The sequence below is a fragment of the Homo sapiens genome, chromosome 7 (genome assembly GCF_000001405.40).
Source record: "Homo sapiens chromosome 7, GRCh38.p14 Primary Assembly".
NCBI lineage: Eukaryota > Metazoa > Chordata > Mammalia > Primates > Hominidae > Homo > Homo sapiens.
The window spans coordinates 154,990,072-155,006,234 of NC_000007.14; the positions used below are offsets into that span (position 1 = coordinate 154,990,072).

Sequence of the window (16,163 nt, forward strand, 5' to 3'; positions counted from 1 at the left end):
GCTCTTGTTACCCAGGCTGGAGTGCAATGGCACGATCTCAGCTCACCACAACCTCCGCCTCCCAGGTTCAAGTGATTCTCCTGCCTCAGCCTCCCAAGTAGCTGCGATTACAGGTGCGCACCACCATTCCTGGCTAATTTTGTATTTTTAGTAGAGACGGGGTTTCGCCACGTTTGCCAGGCTGGTTTCAAACCCCTGACCTCAGGTGATCCGCCCACCTCGGCCTCCCAAAGTGCTGGGATTATAGGCATGAGCCACCATGCCCGGCCGACTTGGGATAAGTTTCTAAACATAAAAGAAATGCAGGTGAAAACGAAATGAGTATTTTAAGGCTTGACACTGCTCCCCTTTCCTAGGAAACTGCTGTACTCCCATTCCTGCCGGCAGGAAGCAGGAGTCTGTCCTCAGCATCTCCACCAACACTGAACACACTGTTACAAATTCGATGAGCAAAAACACTTATCTCATTGCTATTAAAATGTTCATGTTTGATTATAAACTGCATCAAATGTTTTGTTACACTTATTAGTAATTCCTCTTTATAGATTCTAAATTTGTTTCTCTGCCTTATCTGCTAAGGTCTTTTTTATTCTTGTTGATCTGTATGATCCCTTTATTTATTAAGAAAATTCTTTGCCTGTATTTCTAACTGAATTTTCCTTGTCATCTTTTAATTTCATTTTTAATATTTTTTCATATTCAAGTTTTAAATCTTTTTTATTTATAAAGACCATTTTCACCCATTAAAAACTTTAAATCTTAAAAGCAAGCACAAATATTTAAATAATTTTAAGTGTCATGAGTTTATATTAAATACACAGTCAGTTTAGAAAATAGCTTCTCTAAAACTGGTTAACAGGTCATAAATCCAACCATACAAAAACTCAGAAGTGTCACATATAAATAACTCAAGACTAACTGTAACCATGCTTACCTGAGAAAGGCAGGCAGTGATTCCAAAAAAAATCTGACATGATTCTGGAGAAAAACCATTTACTCTGTTTTATAGTTATTAAGATTACAATGAAATAAGATTAGTGCAACCTGTACTTCACTAACAGACATTACCCACCCACTCCGTCCCCACTCAGTCCATTTAAGAAAGAGACAGACTTAAGATAGACAAAGAAGAGTACAGGGCAGAGTGGAATAGAGAGTAGTGGGTGGCACAGAAAGAACTGAGTGCTTTTCTGTAAAGCACATTTTGAAATCCAATCTCTCCACTTATATCATAAATCAAATAGGCAAAGTATACTCACAGGGGGAAGCCTTTTGATCTCTGATAGCTAGCTAACTATATACAAATATATAAACACACACATGCCTATACACATACACACAAATGGCATAGCAGTTATTTTAAAAGCAAAATTAAAACGTCTTGTTTCTTTTAGATTGAAACGTTGTGACTGCTTCCACTGCACAGTAGGAAGAATCCTTCATAAGAGCTTGATTGAGCTCTAGTTTTATTATCTCCGCTAACTTTGTGAACTTAGGCAAGACAACTGTGAGCTTCAATTTCCCCTTTTTTAAAACAAAAGTTGGAATATATGATTCCAAAGATCCTTCCTATTTCTAAAGCTGATCTTAAAAATTCATTCAAAATGATTAATGAGCACTTACTACACATCACACACTGTGAATTTAACAAGACACAAGGCAGTCATGATCTCTATGTGCCTGTAATTCATAGTCTATTCAGAGCAAACAATGACTTTTTTTGAATAATTTGGAGTGTGTAGAATTCAAAATGGGTTAAAGTATTACTTCTCTTTCCCTATAGGAGTAAAGTATACTGATTGAGATAGGTGAATCAAGAAAAATATCAGCTTAAAAATTCTATTCCAAGTTTGAAGTCTCCTATATGGTTACACAGATGAATCCTATAAACATTTGAGACTTCCCTGGCTGTAAAAAAAACTCTGAAGACTGCAATGATACCTTCAGCCCCATTATCGAAGATCTGTTTCCATCTTCCAACCTAAGCTCATGGATTTTCTACTTCCAAAGACTTGGGGAAATATTAATAAAGGCAAATCTCAGAGTGCACTGTCTACCAGTGAGTCTCCCAGGCTCCCTTGTTTGTTTGTTTGTTTTTGAGATGGAGTCTTGCTTTTGTCGCCCAGGCTGGAGCGCAGTGGCACAATCTTTTGTTCTTATGGATAGGCAAGTAAGAGCTCAAAGAAGATCCCAGTGGCTGGGCGCGGTGGCTCATGCCTGTAATCCCAGCACTTTGGGAGGCCGAGGTGGGTGGACCACAAGGTCTAGAGACTGAGACCATCCTTGCCAACATGGTGAAACCCCGTCTCTACTAAAAATACAAAAATTAGCTGGGCGTGGTGGCGCATGCCTGTAGTCCCAGCTACTCAGGAGGCTGAGGCAAGAGAATCGCTTGAACCCATAGTCCCAGCTACTCAGGAGGCTGAGGCAGGAGAATCGCTTGAACCCAGGAGGCAGAAGTTACAGTGAGCCGAGATCGTGCCACTGGACTCCAGCCTGGGCGACAGAGCAAGACTCTGTCTCAAAAAAAAAAAAAAGATCTCAGCTTCTTAAGGAGTCTTGTACAGAGAATAAATGACCTGGAACAACAAAATCAGCCTCTTAGCTCTATTCCCAGTCTTTTTGACTTCTTATAAAAGTAATAAATAACGACAAAACAAAAACAGGAACTAATTTCCTTCAACTCTTTAGGCTATGTACAAGAAAATATTAGAACTTCTGAGTTGGAGTTGCTAAAGTTCTACACATCCTCCAAGAAGAACTGCTTGTAGAGGAATGTTTTCCCTATTTCTCTATAAATATTTCATGATAAGTTTCCTTCCATCTGCATTGATTCAATGGGTAATAAGTGCTTTCAAGAGAACTGCCTGGCATAGCTGCAAAATAAAATAGAGCACATGACATAATCTCTTGCCAGGTCTAAAATTTTAGCAACTGTATGGTATCAGGTACTTGCAAAAGAAATGATTTCCACAAGCAAGTTACACTTGAAGTAACAGTCCCATGAAGAATTATCCTTTTAGGATGAAAAGGGAGCCACCAGGCCTAGAAGAGTAAACAGGAGGCCTGTAGAACGCCTCATTTCTGACTCCTGACACAGTGCCAGGGCAAGGGCACATCTATGAATGCTCCATGAACGAACAATGCAAGCAAGGAAGCTCCCTGAGGGCAGAAATGGTCTTCTTCACCCCTCTATTTTCAGTACTCAACCCACAGCACAGGTGCACTGAATTAATAATCGTTCTACCCAATGCAATTAAAAGGATTAACAATGCATGTTATAAATTTTATTCTCATGTTCTCTTCCCCAACTTACTCTTCAAACAATTCATGATTTGATTCACATAGACTTAGAATTTTAGAAATATCCCTCATCTAGCTAGCACCACAAAAGCTGAAGAGAACCGGAGCTCCTGCCTCCAGTTCCCGGCCTAGAGTTACTTGTCACAGCTGAGCCCCCTTTTAACATGAGTAATAACAAGGATCAGGTACATAAAATTTGAAACAGGATGGAAAATAGTAGGAATATAAGATGTAGACAAAACAATCTGTCCTAACGAATGAATCCACTTTTCACTCCATTAACTATCATTTCTTTCAGTCTTAAACCCAGAGTTACCCTTTCCCTCCTCCCCCACTCAAAAAAAAGGATACGGCAGAAGAGTTCCACACTGAACGGACAGAATCACCCAAGAAGGCTGAAAAAGAAAAGATTAAATCAAAAAGTATTCTCAATTTACAAGTGGCATATTATTTTACTAGTGTTGTTCTTAGAAATTAAAAGTCTCTGTTACAACCTATTTTAAAACATCCAGATTACAAGTATGAATATTCAAATAGAAATATTATAGTCAAAGATTAGTTACTAATACCCAAGATGAAAAATCCAATTACAGAATGAAGCACTACCATATTTTTTTAAAATTATGTATAAACATTTAAGTTCCAGGTTTACACACTTATTACTGCTGACCCCCACATTTAGGACAGGGGAACTGCCACCCATCCTGCCCCACCACCGCCGACACCTCATCCAGGGCATAGTCAGCCTCTCATACGCTCCCTTCTTGAATCCCAAATTCAGTCAAGTCTAAATTCATGAGGTGTTTGTTTGTTTTAGTGAAGTCAAGCAGATACAATGTTTGTAAGCCTGAAAATATTTTTATAAATTCTAAAAACTGAGATTAATTATAAAACAGATTAATTACTACCTTTCTGGGTAATTTATATTTTTGAAAAATTATCTTGTTTCTATGTTTAATTTTTATAATTATACAAATCATTCTCCTGATAGCTCTACTTCAGAAAATTACTATCAAAATGTAGTAATGCCCCCATTACTACATTCTGGAAGGCAGCTGACTTCCAGAAACTTCAGCCAACTGAAACAGACATATATACTCACTACCCACCCATCAATTCATTCATCAAATATTTATTGAGAATCTATTTTATGCAGAGATGGTGCAAGGCGCTGGGGATGTAACAATGAAAACGAGAAACGCAGTCTTTGCTCTCCTGCAAGTCATATTCCAAGCTAATGATCTTCAAGCTATTTTTGTCATGTACACCTTAAATAAATTTCAGACAATGAAATGCCCCCCTTATCATTTTTTAGATGACATCTAAAATTTTTCAGCATAACTCTAAATAAGTATATTTTCTGTGAGAAGAGGAATATTAAACATTTTATAAAATAAAATAAAGATTGGCAGCTGTGCCTGGGATAATTACTTCATTATGATTTGACATTTACCAAAGGTTTTAACTAAGTTACTGGATTAGTTATCTGAAATCTGAAAGAAGGCACTTAATTTTTCGATCTATGTGCCTTATCCAACATATCTTCACATTTTTTGATAGTCCTAGAAAAATTCCAGTTAAATTTAAAAAAATGGGCCAGCATCAGGAATCGGTATTGGCCTTGACACTTCTGAATTCAGAACACCTTCATGTAGACCAAGCTCTCCTTTCAACAGCAACACCCAGAAACCCCTCTCTCCTCATGATGCCATGACTGAGCACTAAGGGAACAGTCCCTAAAACCAGTCTTTCTAATTGTCCTTTTGTCTGCTGTCCACGAGAATTTTCAGAGCCTGGGGCAATGCACTACAAGATTAGGATGGGTGAAGGTCTGATTCTTCCTGTGTAAAGTGGGAGGGGCCACTGTGACCACAGGTGTGTTCTCAGGCAGCTTTAGGAAGGGCCAGTCTGGAAATGTTATCTATCACCTTACAACCATCCACACAGCATACACGCTGAATATCTCCCCCCAGGGAGCTTGGGTAGGGTATCCCAGTTTAAAGACTGCTGGCTATCATAAAGTCCCATCCAAGCACAGTAGAATCACTGAGGCCCTACTTCAGATAAGTTTAGATAAAATAATGCAAAATTAGGATGTAGGCCACAGTACAAAGCAGAAATGGAGAACTACAAAAGCAAAGTGATAAGGAACTATTTATCCTAAAGGCAAAGAACAATATATAAAAATAAGCTGGCTGATCGCGATGGCTCATGCCTGTAATCTCAGCACTTTGGGAGGCCAAGGCGGGCGGATCACTTGAGGTGACAGGTTCGAGACCAGCCTGGCCAACATGGTGAAACCCCGTCTCTACTAAAAACACAAAAGTTAGCCGGGCGTGGTGGCACACGCCTGTAGTCCCAGCTACTAGGGAGGCTGAGAGAGGAGAATCGCTTGAACCCTGAGGCAGAGGGTGCAGTGAGTCGAGATCACACCATTGCACTCCAGCCTGGGAGATTCTGTCTGAAAAAAAATTAAATAAAATAAGCCCACTACAAGTCAGCAAAATTAACATTTCCAATGATGCCCAAAGGCCACTGAGAAAAATATCTCAATTTAAAAAATAATTTTAAAAGTTTTGGTGCCCAAAGAAGCAAGTTTTAAACATTTATAAGATTCAAATATGTAAATGATAGATAAACTGTCACTGTGTATAAAGATGCCTTATTTTTAAAATGCATTGTCAAACTTCCTATCAAGGTAAAGGCCAAGGGATATGCCTCTAGGGAACCAGGTCTCAGCCTTCAGTCATATGAATTCAGACTCAACTATTAGCAGCAGGATCCAAAATAAGACAGGCCCATAAGGTTCAAACTAAGAATATCAGGATCTACTTGAAATATCTTAGAGTGAAGGCAAACTGTTGAGTCAGCTCCGAAGTACTCTACCACCTTGTAATGTAACACAATAGTCCCTGGACAATACAGGTGCTGTCAAAAATTACAAGCAGGCTGGAATGCTACTGGGTACAGATGAAATATGTCTGTCACTCATTTTAAAATACTATAGCCAGAGGGGGAAAAAGTTGGGTTTGAATACAGTAAACTACCTTGGCAAAATGGTGATAATCCTAGATGCTAACTGCTAATTGTATAAGTAATGGGTATTTCTACTTAGCCTTACATACTGACTTTCCCAGGAATATGAATACTGTGTAAAATGAAGGAAGACTGCTTTGTTTAGCTCAGGAATTGATCACCATTCTGAAATGTCACCTCACAGCGGCGACCCCACTTGTGGGGTATGATATCAATCTGTAATTGCAGCAGCTACCGGCAGTGACTCTACATATAGCAGCAGCCATGCCCAAGTGTTTACACATTGAAATATATATTTATTATTTACTTGCCTTTTATTTCGCCTTCACATTTCAGTTTGGGCAATTTATATATACATATTTTAAAGGTTGGCTTACGTATCGATTCATTTCTGGATAATAAGGGGAGTGCTACAAAGTACTTATTACAAAAAGGTGGTTTGGGGTCAGGCAGGTTTAAGAACTACTTCTGGTAGTTGGCCTGGCAACAATCACCTAGGCCCCAAGGATGTGTTAGAAAGATCACCCTTTCACATAACATCTGCATAAGATATGCAAAGCCGCTTTACTGAGACAATAGCTCCAGGCTATTGTCTGAGAGAAAGAAAGTTTGTAGGAAGGAGAAGGAAGAGACAGAGATACTGTCCCTAAAGCAGTACAAGGAAGCAAGCCAGAGACAAAAACATGTTCCAAAGAAGAGGGTGCCCCAGCTCAGGACCTCATCCAAGGCAGTTTCCGACCCTGGGTACCAGGGAGGTCACCACTTCCCAGCAGCCAGGTGGCTTCTCTGGCCCCGCAATTTGACTTAATGGCAATCTTTCTATTTTTTTCCCTTTTTCTTTTTGTTTAAGAGATGGTGTCTCACTGTGTTACCCAGACTGGAGTACAGTAGCTATTCACAGGTGTGATCACAGTGCATGGCAGCCTTGAACTCCTGGCCTCAAACAATCCTTCCACCTCAGCCTCCTAAGTAGCTGGGACTACAGGTGAGTCCCACTGCACCAGGCTGGCAATCTTTCTTAATTCCTAACACTGTTATTGTTAAACCACAGTAACTTTCATACTGATTTCTTTTTAAGGCAAAGCATTTAATAACATGAAGAGGGAAAAAATGGTAGTGGTATAGAACTATTTTAAAACAAATACTTCATAGGGAAGATCTGAAATAAAATCGAAGCATTGGAATTACAAAATTTAACAAATTTTTAAAACACACATTTTAACAGAAGTCAACTAACTTATCAGCCATAACATAATACAGTAGGTGGATAAACAAAATCTGAACAATTCTTCCACTAGCTGAATCCCTCATTCTCTGCAATAAATTACCCATAGGTCAAGTTGGATACACCCCAGACGACCAGTGGGTAGACAATGTGACTAAAGGCCATTGTGACTCTTGTCAGAAAGGAGTTCCACAACATAGTTAATGGGGGACGCCCTTCAGCTAACTGAAATTCAGAACACCTTGCCACAGTCGGGATGGAAAGTAACCCTGTCCTAGAGTTACCTCCCGACAGGCCTTAGCCTGCTTTTGGAATGAAATACACTCTTACAATAATTCAAACACCCATCTGATTCAAGGCATCAGATCTGTTTCCCATGACAGGTTTCCCTGGCTCAGAAAACTTCCAGGCAGTGGTAACGTGGGACGAGTTCTGCAGCAGGCATAAAGGATGGCCTAGGATTACTTACGACATACAGAAGCCATGCTCTACCTTGGTTTAGCTGAAAGGACCTGAAGCTAAGGGAAGTTACTCAGACGTTAAAGATGTCCACAGTTATCTGGCAACTTTCCACACAAAACAGGACTTTAGGGCCAGCACGGTGGCTCATGCCTGTAACCCCAGCACTTTGGGAGGCTGAGGCAGGCGGATCACCTGAGGTCAGGAATTCAAGACAAGCCTGGCCCAACATGTTGAAACCCTGTCTCTACTAGAATACAAAAATTAGCCAGGCGTGGTGGCAGGCACTTGTAATCCCAGCTACTCAGGAGGCTGAGGCATGAGAATCACTTGAACCCGGGAGGCGGAGGTTGCAGTGAGCTGAGATCGTGCCATTGCACTCCAGCCTGGGCAACAGAGCGAGATTCCAGCTCAAAAAAATAAATAAATAAAAAATAAAAATAAAATAAAACAGGACTTTAGCAAAAACCCTGAAAAGAGCTATAGTGAAACTTCAATGTACTGCTTGCAAGATACTGAGGAAAAGATATAAAACAAATTATGTTTACTACTGACCTTTACAACAGGTAAGTCAAAGACTTCCCGAGCTTCTCCCACCTCTGGATTGTCCCCATCCTCTGAGATTATGTGTGAGGCTAGTGCATTGTAGGAAACTTCCTTCGCTTTTCCAGCCTTGAGAAGCTGAATAACCTAAAAAACAAGAAAATCCACACAAATTAAAATGGGCAATACTGTACTGTACTCTTGAATTACAGAAATAATTATTGGGCATAATAGTACTTTTTAATAAAAACACACCATATTCCCCACATAAAAACTAACAGCCTTTTACTCTGAATAATATGCCAATGAAACTTTCGGGGACAATCAAAAGCAGCAAATCTTGATTCACTGACCAAGTCAATGACCAAGTAATGGAGGCTATTGTGAGTCCAGTAGTGGACATGGTCTGTCCTCAAGACAGATGGGCTGGACAAACCAGGAGACAGCACAACCACTGCTGCGGTGGGGCCACGCACATGGTGCTCCTGAGCTTCCAACTTAAAGACTGGGACATGGGGAGTTTCATAATTAGGGAAAGATTCTGGAAGACAAGATATGTGAGCAGAACCCTCATAAACGTCTGGGTGTTAGGCAAAAATCCATACATCGAGGAAGAGGGAGCAGTGTTGAAGGCACTGAACAGGTGAATACAGAGCAGACCGTAAATGGGCTTTCTTACACACTATGCAAAAAAGTCTGTGCTTCATTCTGGGGTATATGCAGGGCCACTGAAGGATTTCACACAGGAAAAGTAGCACAGATTTCATACAAAGATGACAGTCCATGTGAAAAGAAAGGATTGGGTGGGCTGGCTGTGTTTGGTTGGCTAGATGACTAAAGACAAGAGACCTGTTAAGAAACAAGTGCAATAACCCAGGTGAAAGAGGCATCCACTAAAGTGATGTCCTGATGGGCAGAAAGGAGGAAGATGTGAGAGAATCGGCAAGCCTTGGTGTCTGGAAGGGGTATAAGCAAAAGAGCAAAGTCCAGACTGAAATGGTGGTGAGTACCACTCACTGAGGAACACATCAGAAGGCTGGCAGGTGGGGACACAAGGACGTGTTTTAGTTTGGGCATGCCATTCTTTGGGGGTCGTGTTAATATCTGGCAAGAGGCATCCAGTTGCAGCTAGGAAAAGATGTGGATCTCCCTGACAGAAAGTCATCAGCATTGTTACATAGATGGGAGCCACAGCCATGAGCGTGAAGGTGGTCGCAGTGCAGAATGGGAGGGGAGCTAGAGAGCAGACACAGCAACTGATACTTCAGGGACAGGTAGGGAAGTGCAGTATCACAGGAGAGGAGCGTCAACAGAAGCCAAGGAAGTGAGGGTTAAGGAACAGTCGACAGTCAAGTGCTTCAGAAGAGGTGGGCAGTGTCTAAGCTGACAGTGCACACCAACTGTCAAAGTGACATGGTGCCCACAAAGCTCAAGTGACCCACCAGGGCAACGCTCTTCCAGGTCCCCTCTCTGCAGCAGAGAGCTTTCTTCTTTCACTTATTAAACTTTTGCTCCAACCTCAAAAAAAAATAAAGTCACCCACAAGCTAGACAACCTTTTCAGAATACTTTACCGACCACTAATAGATATGAACTAGAGCAGAGGCTCAATATTTAGTAAGTGAAAAAACAGCGGTCACTGGCCATGGGCCACTTTACCTTTCTTCCTTCCCTTGACCTCTAAGCATTTTTAGCTTCACGCATCCATTCGACTGGTCTTCAGAAAAGGCACCCCTCCTTTTCCTATCCTCCAGTCTGTTTCTGATCCTACTCCCTTCTTCATGAGTTTCCCTGTCCATAGCTATGTTCCCTCCACCTGTAAACAGTAAAGTCACCCACATCCTTCCACGCGCTTGTGATGCAACACAGATCCCTCCCCAGCCCTCTCTTCCTCAGGCACCTTCTCTATTTCCTTCTCAGGACAAACTTCCTGAAGAGTCTAACCTTTCTGTTCTCAGTTTCCATTCACTCTTCAACTCCCTGCAATCCAGCCCCTTCCACCAACACTCTACCAAAAACACTTTACTCGGTTTTCACGAACTTTGAGGATGCCAAAACCAATAGCTTCTCTTCAATCTCCACACTACTGAGTATCTTAATAGATTTATCTCATATCACTCTGTTCCAGATATAGTGATCATCCTGATGTATCCCAAACGCATGAATGCCTTCATTCCTCAGCACATACGCTCCACATGAAAATATTCCTTCATGTTCTTAACTTCTGCTTATCTCAAAACCCAACTGAAATGACATCTACTGAGTGACATTTCAGTGGTGTCTACTTTGCACCCCAGTGGAGAAATCTGCTACACCTTGTACTGTGATATGTCCAGGTGTGCTCCCTCCCCCACCAATGAGGGGCGCTAAAGGGCAGGTACCATGTCCTCTTCACCTCTGTATTATACCTGGCACCTAGTCCATGCCTGCCTCATATTAGATGGTCAACATGTGAACTTATAATCCACAGTCATAAGAGTCAGAGAATCAGATGTCCAGGCTCAAAACTTTTCAGAAAATATACTGTTTCAGATGAAAGTGGTTTGCCAAGGACATTTTTAAGCACTTAGATTTGATTCAAAGTCGAGTAAATATGGTTCCAGTTCAACTTGTTCCAGGTTTTAAGTAACATTTGGTTCAAGTCCCCTATAAGAGCCAAAGTCCTAAAATGAAACACGAAGGCTAGGAAGGAGGGGGAAGAGAAAAATGGTGGATAGCAAAAAACAAAAACAAAAAAACAAACAAAAAAAAGAGGGGCGGGGGAATCATCAATACTGGAAAAAGCTAACACTGTTACAGGCACTCATCTTCATCGCTCCGTGTTCAGCAACTGTTTTACTCTGTAAATTCAAAGATAGAAGGCTTTTTTTTTTTTTTTGAGACGGAGTCTAGCTGTTGTTGCCCAGGCTGGAGTGCAGTGGCGCGATCTCGGCTCACTGCAACTTCCACCTCCCAGGTTCCAGCAATTCTCCTGCCTCAGCCTCCCGAGTAGCTGAGACCACAGGCGCCCGCCACCACGCCCGGCTAATTTTTGTATTTTTAGTAGAGATGAGGCTTCACCATGTTGGCCAGGCTGGTCTCGAACTCATGACCTCAGGTGATCCACCCGCCTTGGCCTCCCAAAGTGCTGGGATTACAGGGGTAAACCCGGCCTTGAAGTCTCTTTACCCTAAAGTTACAGGGCAAAAAGGGTCCAAAAAGTTGTTACAAGGACGAACCTCAAGAAGGCCAAGATCACTCAGCCTTCTACAATTCCTTCTACACCATCCAAGTTCATCTGCGAAATATGAGTCTCCGCCCTTCCAGGCCTAACTCTGATCACTGGGGATCCCCATCCTCCAAGGTGGGGGCCACTGATGTCACACCCAAGGCAACACAACTGTACAGCTAAACTTTTAAGAAGGAAATATTTTGAAGATTAACCTGAAGAGGATATTCAACTAAGATGCATTCCTACCACGGACTGATAACTGTGTGACATCAAACAGATATATTATTATAGGAATACTAAGGAAAACCCACAATATCCTTTGGCGTGAGCCCAAACTACACAAAATTAAATGTGTAATGTGATGGTGTTACCAGGGTACCGTAAAATTAATCGTCCAAGTGGGAAAATCAAGGAAGACGAATGCCAGCCCCCACGTGCAGGGACACAGGCTGGAAGGGAGCGCTCCTCAGCCCCGCACAGGACGGCAGCTGCCCGGGTGGCGGAGGCGGCCAAGCCGGTGCACGGCCACGACCCCCGCCGGCCGAGCGAGGCTGGGGTCCCCGCGCGAGCTGCCCCGGCTGGGGATCCCGGCGCCCCTCGTCCGCCCTCGGAGCTGCTCTCCCGGGAGCCGAGACGCCCGGCGCGGGGAATGGGGAGACGCGACCCCGCGCCCGTCCCGCTCAGCAAAGGAGCAGAGAACGAGGCGGCCCGGTGGGTCGGGGGCGGCGACCCCAGGGCCGCAGGCCGGGGGCTCAGGGCGCGCACTAGGGGCCGAGGTACAGAGCCCCAGCCGCCTTCCCTCCCGCACTCCCCCGGGCCCGGGCCTCCCGCGCCCACCCCGCGGTCGCCCCTGCCCTCAGCGCAGTCAGGCCAGCGGCCTCGGCGGACCCGACGCTCTGCGCCCGGCGCGCGCCCGCGGCAGGAGCGGGGACGGGGACGGGGACGGGGACGGACGGGGACGCGGACGGGGGAGGAGGCCGCGGCAGGGGCGGGCGCGGTACCTGCGGGTCGATGTCGCCCACCGCGTAATACTTGACCTCCCTGAACATCTCCTCAGGAACTTTGGGCGCCTGGTCCGACATGATCGCGGCGGCCCGGGAGGCTCCGCGGCGGCGCCCGGCCCCGCCCACCCCCCGCCCCCGGCCCCCGCGGCGCCCGGCGCCCCCACTCGCCCCGCCAACGGCCCTGCCCGCGCAGCCCGGGCCCGGTCCTGCGAATCGGGGTCCGCTCCCCCGCCCTCCGCGCCCCCGCCCGCGCCCGCGCCGAGCGCCCGAAGCGCGGGAGCCGCGCGCGCCCTGCGGGACGCACCATCCCGCCCCGGCCACCGAGGGGGAGCGCCGAGGAGCCGCCCGGCCTCCAGTGACGCCCCGCGCCTCTGCCGCCAGCCACGGCTCCGGGGTAGCTGGCGCCGGCAGCCCGCTCTGGCCCTTGCGGTTCCGTGGCCGCCGCTCTGCAACGAGGGGGCCCCGAGGACGAGGGGAAACCAGCTCCCCCCTCGGCGGGGCCGGAGTGAGCCGGTCCCGGGGAGGAGGGGAGCTGGCAGGCCCCTCCCGTCGCCACATGCGGCTGCTCGGGGGCGGCGCATGCGCGCGGCGGAGGGGGGGGTGGGGCCTTGGGGCCGCGAGTGGGAGCGGGAGCGGTTCTGCGGCCTCCTCGGGCTTCTTGGCCCTGGGCGGAGTGGGATTGGGTGTCCCGGCTGTTCGCAGTGGCCGCGAGTGCGGCCGGACCTGGAGTAGTACCTGAGCCGCTCTGGCCGAGCAAGGCGCGGGGCCCCGGTCTACACCGCGCTGGACCCGGCTATGCCGTGACGGAATTCCCGAGGCCGTAGCGCCACGCGAGACGCGCACTGGTGGCCTCCGCGGCGAGTCCTGGGGTCTCCGCAAGGCCTCAGTGCCCGAGCTGGGGACGTGCTGGGGGGAGGCCCGGCCCCGTCGCTGCCCGAGGCCCCGCTGTCCCGGCCGGACCGGCCTGGTCCCTGGCGTCCTGTCGGGTCCGCGCTGGAGGAGAGTCCCAGACAGCAGAGCCCGCGGTGCAGCTCCAGCCCCGGGAAGCCCCGCGCTCAACAGGTTAATACTACACAGCGGCGATTCTAATGGTCACGCTTTTATTTACAGCTCGCCTCCCTTCCGCCAAGATTCACAGAACACGGCAGAGTGGCCTCGGGATCACCTGCCCAAGACACCTGCACGACCGGAAGTTGGGAGAAGAAATTAAGGCCATGATGATGAACGCAGCCTTTCTCGTTTATTTCCAATCCCACAACAAACCGGAGTCCAGGAACTCATGGGTGATTATCGGACTATTACCTAGTCGTAAAACTGTGGAGCATTGGTGTCTAAAGGAATCTGAGACAGACCCGCAGTGTCTCCCCCACATGCCTTAAGTCACTTCTGCCAAGCAGAAAATCATTTTTAAGTAAATGTTAGTGAAATTGGTTTTAAAAAAGAGAAGGGGCCGGGCGCGGTGGCTCACGCCTGTAATCCTATCCTTTAGGAGGCCGAGGTGGGCGGATTGCCTGAGTTCAGGAGTTCGAGACCAGCCTGGGCGACACGGTGAAACCCCGTCCCTACTAAAATACAAAAAATTAGCCGGGCGTGGCGGCACGCGCCTGTAGTCCCAGCTACTCAGGAGGCTGAGGCAGGAGAATGGCTTGAACTCGGGTGGGGGAGGTTGCAATGAGCCGAGATCGCGCCGCTGCACTCCAGCCTGGGCGACAGAGCGAGACTCTGTCTCTGAAAAAAAACAAAACAAAACGAGAAGGCTTTCAAAATTACTCTGCGGTACACTAATTTAACAGATTAGATCACTTTCCAGGCTTTAAGTTGGCCTTTGTTCTACCCTTTTTTTAGTGTATGATAAAAGTTGTGTTGGTTCGTTGATCAGCATGCAATGAACTCTGGCTCTTGTTAATCAGGTGACTACAGTTTTGTCCTTACATTTGTATGTATGTCATGAGTGGTTTTGTATGGGCAGGAGGTAAACAACGCACATTTAAATATACTTAATGATTTATCATTCCAATGTTTTCTGGTTGTTTTAGTCTTTCATTTGTCTCTTGAACAATCTGAAACATCCCTATTCTAAGGCTAAAAAATTTCCTTTACAAACTTAGGTTAAACATTCCTAATCTGAAATCCAAAATGCTCTAAAATTCGAATTTTTTTGAGTACTGACGTGACCCCACAAATGGAAAATTCCACACTTGCCCTCATGTGACACTGGGTGACAGTCAAGTCACAATCAAGCCTGGTGTGGTGGGCACCTGTAGTGCCAGCTACTCGGGAGGTTGAGCAGGAGGATTGCTTGAGCCCAGGAGTTTGAGTCCAGCCTGGACGATATAGCCAGACCCTGTCTGTAAAAAAACAAAAACCAAAACAAAAAAAACAATGAAAACATTTTTTTTTAAAACGCCATCAAAACTTTGTTTCATGCACAAAATTATTTAAAATATATAATATAACCTTACCTTCAGGCTATGTGGGTAAGGTAAGGTGTATGTGAAACAAATGAATTTCCCATTTAGACTTGGGTCCCATCCCCAAGATATCTTATTATGTATATGCAAATATTCCAAATCAAAAATATCTGAAATACTTTTGTCCCAAGCATTTCAGATAAAGGTTACTCAACCTGTAATAAAAACACTCAGTGCTTGCCTGAAGGAAAAACCAAGAATTTGTCATCCATCCTTAAATTTTTATGACACCCTTTGTAATCAGGAAACCTTTTAATACCTAAGAATATATTTGATATATTCTGGTATATGTTTATCATTCTGATGTTTAATGTTCTATGTTGGGCATATATCAGTGTAATAAATACATTAGATCCAAATACAGATCATGCTGCCTTTTTATCGACCTGTGTGAGAGAACTTATTTATCCTTTTCTTTTTCTTTCTTTTTTTTGAAACGGAGTCCCACTCTCACCCAGGCTGGAGTGCAATGGCGTGGTCTCAGCTCACTACAACTTCCACCCCCTGGGTTCAAGCGATTCTCCCACCTCAGCCTCCCAAGTAGCTGGGACTACAGGTGCGTGCCACCACACCTGGCTAATTTTGGTATTTTTAGTAGAGACAGGTTTTCACTATGTTGGCCAGGCTGGTCTTGAACTCCTGACCTTGTGATCCTTCTGCCTCGGCCTCCCAAAGTGCTGGGGTTAAAGGCGTGAGCCATCACACCCGGCCCTCCCTTTGATTTTCTTGGTTAAACACAAACTAAGCATGTGATTTTATGTTAAAAGACCTGAAGTGGACCTCAACCAGGTATTTTATTTTGTGAATTAAGAAAGCAATTTGTAACGTTCAAGAGAACAAGCTTACCCTACTTCAGGTTCTGATGGTAAGGCAAATTGCGGGATTAAGAAACCTGCTATTTAAGGCCAGCGT

General features: G+C 45.4%; 1 protein-coding gene and 1 long non-coding RNA gene across 6 annotated transcripts in view, besides 5 other annotated features; one reads left to right on the top strand and one right to left on the bottom strand.

The window, feature by feature from the left end:
* PAXIP1 (PAX interacting protein 1) overlaps positions 1–13,340 on the bottom strand; it is a 59,722-nt gene extending 46,382 nt beyond the window's left edge. For 2 of the 5 annotated variants that reach the window (XM_047420058.1, XM_047420057.1), the window contains exons 1-2: positions 3,655–3,700; positions 935–998 (exon numbers count right to left, since the gene is read on the bottom strand). In XM_047420058.1, the coding sequence (XP_047276014.1) occupies positions 935–993 (59 nt within the window). In that variant the 5' untranslated portion in view covers positions 994–998; positions 3,655–3,700. Of the gene's footprint in view, positions 1–934; positions 999–3,654; positions 3,701–8,578; positions 8,714–10,008; positions 11,469–12,777; positions 13,054–13,084 lie in introns of those variants that run through there. The other 3 variants (XM_011515982.4, NM_007349.4, XM_047420059.1) reach the window with 3 other exon arrangements.
* Positions 12,194–12,343: a silencer, noted in NCBI's record as "silent region_18839". NCBI's record gives its function as "represses an Ori minimal core promoter by ATAC-STARR-seq in GM12878 lymphoblastoid cells {active_cell/tissue: GM12878}" and the evidence as "EXISTENCE:reporter gene assay evidence [ECO:0000049][PMID:35858748]".
* Positions 12,514–12,883: a silencer, noted in NCBI's record as "silent region_18840". NCBI's record gives its function as "represses an Ori minimal core promoter by ATAC-STARR-seq in GM12878 lymphoblastoid cells {active_cell/tissue: GM12878}" and the evidence as "EXISTENCE:reporter gene assay evidence [ECO:0000049][PMID:35858748]".
* Positions 12,914–13,603: a silencer, noted in NCBI's record as "silent region_18841". NCBI's record gives its function as "represses an Ori minimal core promoter by ATAC-STARR-seq in GM12878 lymphoblastoid cells {active_cell/tissue: GM12878}" and the evidence as "EXISTENCE:reporter gene assay evidence [ECO:0000049][PMID:35858748]".
* PAXIP1-DT (PAXIP1 divergent transcript) lies at positions 13,362–15,632 on the top strand. Its single transcript, NR_028090.1, is given in 1 exon segment — positions 13,362–15,632. It is a non-coding gene; the product is annotated as a PAXIP1 divergent transcript (long non-coding RNA).
* Positions 13,624–13,703: a silencer, noted in NCBI's record as "silent region_18842". NCBI's record gives its function as "represses an Ori minimal core promoter by ATAC-STARR-seq in GM12878 lymphoblastoid cells {active_cell/tissue: GM12878}" and the evidence as "EXISTENCE:reporter gene assay evidence [ECO:0000049][PMID:35858748]".
* Positions 13,948–14,449: an enhancer, noted in NCBI's record as "H3K4me1 hESC enhancer chr7:154795729-154796230 (GRCh37/hg19 assembly coordinates)". NCBI's record gives its function as "activates a minimal SCP1, AML or CMV promoter by ChIP-STARR-seq in naive H9 embryonic stem cells {active_cell/tissue: H9 hESC(naive)}" and the evidence as "EXISTENCE:reporter gene assay evidence [ECO:0000049][PMID:30033119]".